Here is a 7,509-nt window from a genome sequence, read left to right as displayed (position 1 = left end):
GAAGTTAGTTAACCAGAGGCTAGCCTGGGGGGTGTTATCACAGAGTAACTGACCTGGGAAAAAAGGCAATAAGCAACAGCTCTATTCTTCCACATGAGACAAGATAAATACCCAACTCAAGCCTACTCTAGCCATCCCCTCCAAGTCAAGGGAGGAGAAAAACAATCAAACAAACAAGGAACACTTGTGAATGTCACAGTCCAGAGACATACGCTTCCTAAAAGACAGACATAATTATAAAAACTGCAGAATGCTTCCTGTTCCCCTCATCTTATCACAACATTACTAAAGGCCTATTTATAGTAGTTCCTTTCACCTAATACATCATGTCTAGCTTTCAATAAAAAGTTACAAGGCAAAAGTTGCAATTTGAAAAGAGAGCAAGCATCAGAACTAGACATGGCAGGGATCTTGGAATTATCAGACCAGGAATTTAAAACAACTATGATTAATATGCTAAGGGCTGTAATCGACAGCATGCAATAACAGATGGGGAATTTACATGAAGAGATGGAAATTCTAGGAACTAAGAAGAAATGCTAGAGATCAAAAACAGTATAACAGAAAGGAAGAATGACTTTGATGGGCTTACTAGTATACTGGGCATAGCTGAAGATATAATCTCTGAGCTTGAGGATATCTCAATGGAAATTTCCATTGAGAAAAGTAAAGAGAACAAAGACAAACAAAACAAAACAAAACAAACAAAACCCAGAACAGAATATCCAAGAACTGTGGGACAATTACAAAAAAATGTAACATACAAGTAACGGGAATACTAGAATACTAGAAGGAAAAGAAAAACAGAAAAAAATATTTGAAACAATAATGACTGAGAATTTCCTCAAATTAAAGTCAGACACCAAACTACTGATCCAGGTAGCTCAGAGAACAAGTAGAATAAATGTTAAAAACAAACAAACAAAAACTGCACCTACACATGTCCTTTCCAAACTACAAAAAAAAAAAAAAAAAATTCTAAGTTAAAGAAAAAAAATCCTAAAAGAAGCCAGAAGGGGGAAAATAATCTTTCCCTATAGAGGAACAAAGATAAGATTTGTATCTGACATCTCAGAAATCACGCAAGCGAGAAGAGAGGGAAGTGAAATATTTGAAGCATTGAGAGAAAAGAAAAACAGCCTAGGATTCTGTATCCTGTGAAATTCTTTTTCAAAAGCGAAGGATAAATACTTTCTCAAACAAATAAAAATTGAGGGTATCTGTTGCCAGTAGACCTGCCTTGCAAGAAATGTAAAAAGTTATTTAAAGAGAAGAAAAATAATGTAAGTCAGAAACTTGCCTTTATAGAAAGAAAAGATGTGCATCATGGGGTTTTGGAAATATATAAAAAATCTATGTACCTTCCTCCCAAATTTGCTGTGAACTTAAAATTGCTAAAAAAAAAAAAATAAGTCTTTAAAAAATGTTAGAGAAGTGGTCTGGCTTAACCTAAGTTATTGCAGAATCATTCTGGCTGCCATGTTGAGATTTAGACTACAGGTGGCATGGATGAATGCAGAGACCAGCTAGAGGTTATTGTTGTGATCCAGAAGAGATGAATTAGGTGAATTAGGATGGCAAAGCAGAGGTGAGGAGACATGGATTCTGGATTCTGGGCATATTTGTTGATGCCCAGACAGGATTTGTTGATGGATTGTGTATTCGTTCATTTTGCATTGCTGTAAGGGAACACCTGAGGCTGGGTAATATATATATATGTATAAATATATATATATATATTTTTTTTCTTTGAGACGGAGTTTTGCTCTTGTCACCCAGTCTAGAGTGCAATGAATGGCACGATCTCAGCTCACTGCAACCTCTGTCTCCCAGGTTCAAGTGATTTTCCTGCCTCAGCCTCGTGAATAGCTGGGATTACAGGTGCATGCCACCACACCTGGCTCATTTTTTTGTATTTTTAGTAGAGATGGGGTTTCACCACATTGGCGAGACTGGTCTCGATCTCCTAACCTCAGGTGATCCACAAGGCTGGGTAATTTATAAAGAAAAGAGGTTTATTTGGCTCGAGGTTCTGCAGACTGTAGAAGAAACATAGCACCAGCATCTGCTCAACTTTTGGTGAGGCCTCAGGAAACTTTTACTTATGGCAGAAGGAAAGTAGAGCCAGTGTGTCTTATGGTAAGAGAGCAGAGAGAGATGCCAGGCTCTTTTAGACTACTGGCTGTCATGTAAACTAATAGAGTAAGAAGTCACTCATTACCTCAGCGAGGGAACCAAGATATTCATGAGGGATCCACTTCCATGATCCAAACACCTTCCACTAAGCCCCACCTTCAACAGTGGGGATCACATTTCAACTTGAGATTTGGAGGGGACAAATATCCAAATGATATCAGATTGTATTGAGGGTATGAGAAAAGAGAGGTTCAGGCTGAGCCCAAACTTTTAGTTTAAAAGACTGGAAGAGAGGAGTTGTTTTCAGTAGATATTGGGAAGATAACAGAGAAAACAGGTTTTGGGGGCAAGACCAGGTACTCACTTTTTGGATTTGAGATGTCTATTGCACGTAGAGATGCTAACAAGCATCTGGAAATATAAACTCATGTTTATATAGTTTAGCACACTGTATCATTTAACAGTTTCTAATACAGATGCTGAATTAAACATTTTATTTTGTGGCCTATTTCTTGCACTCACATTTCCTTCACATATATATTGATTACAACTCCGAATATTAGGTTATAGTATTACTTGATGAGCTTTATGAAACAGATATTTTGTCTAATGTGTTATGGTCACTTTGCTCTTTTTTTTTTGGACACAGTCTTGCTCTGTCACCAGCCTGGAGTGCAGTGGTGTGATCTCGGCTCACCGCAACCTCCGACTTCAAGTGATTCTCCTGCCTCAGCCTGCCGAGTAGCTGGGACTACAGGAACGTGCCACCACGCAGAGCTAAATGCTGTATTTTTTTTTTTTTTTTGAGATGGAATCTCGCTCTGTCCTCCAGGCTGGAGTGCAGTGGCATGATCGCGGCTCACTGCAATCTCCTCCTCCCAGGTTCACACCATTCTCCCGCCTCAGCCTTCCAAGTAGCTGCGACTACAGGCGCCCGCCCCCACACCTGGCTAATTTTGTTTTTGTATTTTTAGTAGAGACAGGGTTTCACCATATTGGCCAGGATGGTCTTGATCTCCTGACCTTGTGATCCGTCCGCCTCAGCCTCCTAAAGTGCTGGGGTTACAGGTGTGAGCCACTGCACCCAGCCCACTTTGCATTCTGTCCAGTTTTCTTTAATGGGATTAGAAAGTCTTGAGCATCATATTAATGATAATGGTAATCTCCGTGTCTAAGTTACTGATATGGAGGTAATCATATTCTAATCTTTTACCTCTAAATCTTGCAGACCTTTTCCATACAGTGGTATTTCTTTCACATTTAGTGAGTGCTTAACACTCAAGAAATTCCCTGATTCTTGTGAAAAATCCTGGGACCATGATTTATCTGCTTGAAGGACTAACTCTTCTCAAGGTTAAATCTGAGCCATTGGATGAAATTTTGATTAAGTCTATGGTGGACTAAGCACCCAGGTTGTTCTGTTAGGGACTTGACTTGACTTAGAGAAACATTGCCCTATATGTTCTAAAAAAACAAACAAAAAAAAACAACAAAAAACCCCAGTCTATCCTTTATTCATTCTAGCCTTTCATAATTCCTTAGAACTTCTAACACCATGTGACTATTTTATAATTATATGGATATCCTCTCATGTTTGATAGTACTGGGGACCCATTAATATTGAATTTAAGTGAATTAATGCATACACGAAATTGTGTCTTCATAGAATAAGCACTAATGAGTATTAGCCATTATTACTACATTTTATTATTAATAATTTTATTATTATGTATTTTCATGCACGTCCATGTGAAGAGACCACCAAACAGGTTTGTGTGAGCAACATGGCTGTTTATTTCACCTGGGTGCAGGCGGGCTGAGTCCGAAAAGAGAGTCAGCAAAGAGAGATGGGGTGGGGCCATTTTATAAGATTTGGGTAGGTAAAGGAAAATTACAGTCAAAGGGGAGTTGTTCTCTGGCAGGCAGGAGTGGGAGTCACAAGGTGCTCAGTGGGGGAGCTTTTGAGCCAGGATGAGCCAGGAGAAGGAATTTCACAAGACAATGTCATCAGTTAAGGCAGGAACAGGCCATTTTCACTTCTTTTGTGGTGGAATGTCATCAGTTAAGGCAGGAACTGGCCATCTGGATGTGTACGTGCAGGTCACAGGGGATATGATGGCTTAGCTTTGGCTCAGAGGCCTGACTTTCCTGTCTTCTTATATTAATAAGAAAAATAAAATGAAATAGTGGTGAAGTGTTGGGACTGTGAAAATTTTTGGGGGTGGTATGGAGAGATAATGGGCAATGTTTCTCAGGGCTGCTTCGAGCGGGATTAGGGGCAGCGTGGGAACCTAGAGTGGGAGAGATTAAGCTGAAGGAAGATTTTGTGGTAAGGGGTGATATTGTGGGGTTGTTAGAAGAAACATTTGTCGTGTAGAATTATTGGTGATGGCCTGGATACAGTTTTGTATGAATTGAAAAACTAAATGGAATAACAGAAGGAGAAAAACAGGTATAAAAGGTCTAAGAATTGGGACGACTCAGGACATCTGATTAGAGAGTGCCTAAGGAGATTCAGCATAGTCCTGCCAGCAAAGATTATTTATTTACTTTAAGAGTTAAGAGTGGCAGTTTGGGGATAGCACCAGGAGATATCAGCTGTGATGGCTTGGAGAAACAGTGTAAACTGGCAATGTAAATAAGAGCAGGGCATGTATGAGTAGTTGAGAATGGTGAATAGGAGTATGACTAGACAGAAGATAGTAGGGATGACAATTTTTTTGGGGCACAGTCTAAGTTGGTCTGGTGTCTGGAATGAGACTGGGGCCTAATAAAAAGGAGCATCTATACAGGAGCTTAAATGGGCTGTACCTTGTAGCATTCTGAGGACAGGTCTGACTTCTGAGAAGGGAAAGTGGTAAAAGTATTGTCCAGTCCTTTTTAAGTTGGTGGCTGAGCTTGGTGAGGTGTGTTTTTAAAAGACCTTTAGTCCATTCTACTTTTCTTGAAGATGGAGGACCGTAAGGGATATAAGGGTTTCACTGAATACTAAGAGCCTGAAACACTGCTTGGCTGATTTGACTAATAAAGGCTGGTCTGTTATCAGACTGTATAGAGGTGGGAAGGCTAAACTGAGGAATTATGTCTCACAGAAGGGAAGAAATGACTGCGGTGGCCTTCTCAGACCCTGTAGGAAAGGACTCTACCTATCCAGTGAAAGTGTCTACCTAGACTAAGAGGTATTTTACTTATCTGACTCAGGGCATGTTGAGTAAAGCTAATTTGCCAGTCCTGGGTGGGGGCAAATCCTCGAGCTTGATGTGTAGGGAAGGGAGGGGGCCTGAATAATCCCTGAGGAGTAGTAGAATAGCAGATGGAACACTGAGAAGTTATTTCCTTGAGGATAGATTTCCACGATGGAAAGGAAATGAGAGGTTCTAAGAGGCGGGCTAGTGGCTTGTACTATAGCATAGCCTGCCTTTGCTGGTGTGTGGCGATTAGGCCTAGTGGAACCGCCATCAATAAATCAAGCATGATCAGGGTTAGGAACAGGAAAGAAGGAAATATGGGGAAATGGGGTGAATGTCAGGTGGATCAGAGAGACAGTCATGGGGGTCAGGTGTGATATCAGGAATAATGTGGGAGGCTGGATTGAAGTCTGGGCCAGGAACAATGGTAATTGTGGGACTTAACAAAGAGTGAGTACAGCTGAAGGAGCCGGGGATCAGAAAGTATATGCGTCAGGTAAGAGGAAGAGAATAGATTTTGGAAGTTATGAGAAATGTAGGGAGTGAGTTGAGCATAGTTTGTGATTTTTAGGGCCTCTAAAAGTATTAAAGCAGCAGCAGCCGCTGCTTGCAGACATGAGGGCTAGGCTAAAACAGTAAGGTCAAGTTGTTTGCACAGAAAGGCTACAGGGTGCTGTCCTGGCTCTTGTGTAAGAATTCTGACCGCACTAACCATGCCTAGGAAGGAAAGGAGTTGTTGTTTTGTAAGGGATTGAGGTTTGGGAGATTAATCGGACATGATCAGCAGGGAAAGCACGTGTGTTTTTATGAGAATTATGCCGAGATAGGTAACAGATGAGGATGAAATTTGGGCTTGACTGAAGTAATGGGGGCTGTCTGTGAAGCCTTGCGGCAGTACAGCCCAGGTAATTTGCTGAGCCTAATGGGTGTCAGGTCAGTCTAAGTGAAAGCAAAGAGAGGCTGGGACGAGGGGTGCAGGGGAATAGTGAAAAAAGCATCTTTAAGATGGAGAACGGAATAGTGAGTTGTGGAGGAAGGTATTGAGGACAAAAGAGTGTACGGGTTGGGCACCACAGGATGGATAGGCAAAACAATTTGGTTGATAGGGCGCAGATCCTGAACTAATCTGTAAGACTTGTCTGGTTTTTGGACAGGTAAAATGGGGGAATTGTAAGGAGAGTTTATAGGCTTTAAAAGGCCATGCTGTAGCAGGCGAGTGATAACAGGCTTTAATCCTTTCAAAGCATGCTGTGGGATGGAATATTGGCATTGAGCGGGGTAAAGCTGATTAGGTTTTAATGAGATGGTAAGGGGTGCATGATTGGTCGCCAAGGAGGGAGTAGAGGTATCTTATACTTGTGGGTTAAGGTGGGGGAATACAAGAGGAGGACACAAAGGAGGCTTTGGATTGGGAAGAAGGGCAGCAATGAGATGTAGCTGTAATCCAGGAACAGTCAGGGAAGCAGATAATTTAGTTTAAGTGTCTCGTCCTAGTAAGGAACTGGGCAGGTGGGGATAACTAAAAGGAGTGCTTAAAAGAGTACTGTCTAAATTGGCACCAGAGTTGGGGAGTTTTAAGAGGTTTAGAAGCCTGGCTGTCAATACCCACAACAGTTATGGAGGCAAGGGAAACAGGCCCTTGAAAAGAAGGTAATGTGGAGTGAGTAGCCTCGGTATTGATTAAGAAGGGGACAGACTTACCCTCCACTGTGAGAGTTACCCGAAGCTCGGCGTCTGTGATGGTCTAGGGGGCTTCCGAGGTGATCGGGCAGCGTCAGTCTTCAGCCGCTAAGCCAAGATCTGGGAAGGAGTCAGAGAGCCTTGGGCCAGAATTCCAGGGGCTCTGGGAGTGGCTGCCAGGTGAGTTGAAAAGTCCGATTTCCAGTGGGGTCCCGCACAGATGGGACGCGGCTTAGGAGGAATCCTGGGCTGCAGGCATTCCTTGGCCTGGTGGCCAGATTTCTGGCACTTGTAGCAAGCTCCTGGGGGAGGAGGTTCTGGAGGAACGCCTGGCCGCTGCGGTTCAGGCATTTGGAAGTTCTTGTGTGCTGGAGTTGTGGCTGGGTTTGTCTCACAGTGGAGGCAAGGAATTGCAACTTTTTTCTATTATTTTACACCTTGAAGGCGAGGTTAATTAAATCCTGTTGTGGGGTTTGAGGGCCGGAATTTAATTTTTGGAGTTTTA

The 7,509-nt window shown here is 42.2% G+C and overlaps 3 annotated features.

The window, feature by feature from the left end:
* Positions 3,901 to 4,437: an enhancer, noted in NCBI's record as "OCT4-NANOG hESC enhancer chr7:124374223-124374759 (GRCh37/hg19 assembly coordinates)". NCBI's record gives its function as "activates a minimal SCP1, AML or CMV promoter by ChIP-STARR-seq in primed H9 embryonic stem cells {active_cell/tissue: H9 hESC(primed)}" and the evidence as "EXISTENCE:reporter gene assay evidence [ECO:0000049][PMID:30033119]".
* Positions 6,080 to 6,581: an enhancer, noted in NCBI's record as "NANOG-H3K4me1 hESC enhancer chr7:124372079-124372580 (GRCh37/hg19 assembly coordinates)". NCBI's record gives its function as "activates a minimal SCP1, AML or CMV promoter by ChIP-STARR-seq in primed H9 embryonic stem cells {active_cell/tissue: H9 hESC(primed)}" and the evidence as "EXISTENCE:reporter gene assay evidence [ECO:0000049][PMID:30033119]".
* Positions 6,735 to 7,235: an enhancer, noted in NCBI's record as "H3K4me1 hESC enhancer chr7:124371425-124371925 (GRCh37/hg19 assembly coordinates)". NCBI's record gives its function as "activates a minimal SCP1, AML or CMV promoter by ChIP-STARR-seq in primed H9 embryonic stem cells {active_cell/tissue: H9 hESC(primed)}" and the evidence as "EXISTENCE:reporter gene assay evidence [ECO:0000049][PMID:30033119]".

This window comes from Homo sapiens, chromosome 7 (genome assembly GCF_000001405.40).
Source record: "Homo sapiens chromosome 7, GRCh38.p14 Primary Assembly".
Lineage (NCBI taxonomy): Eukaryota > Metazoa > Chordata > Mammalia > Primates > Hominidae > Homo > Homo sapiens.
The sequence above is the reverse complement of the archived record's forward strand: the minus strand, read 5'-3'. Positions and strand labels throughout refer to the sequence as shown.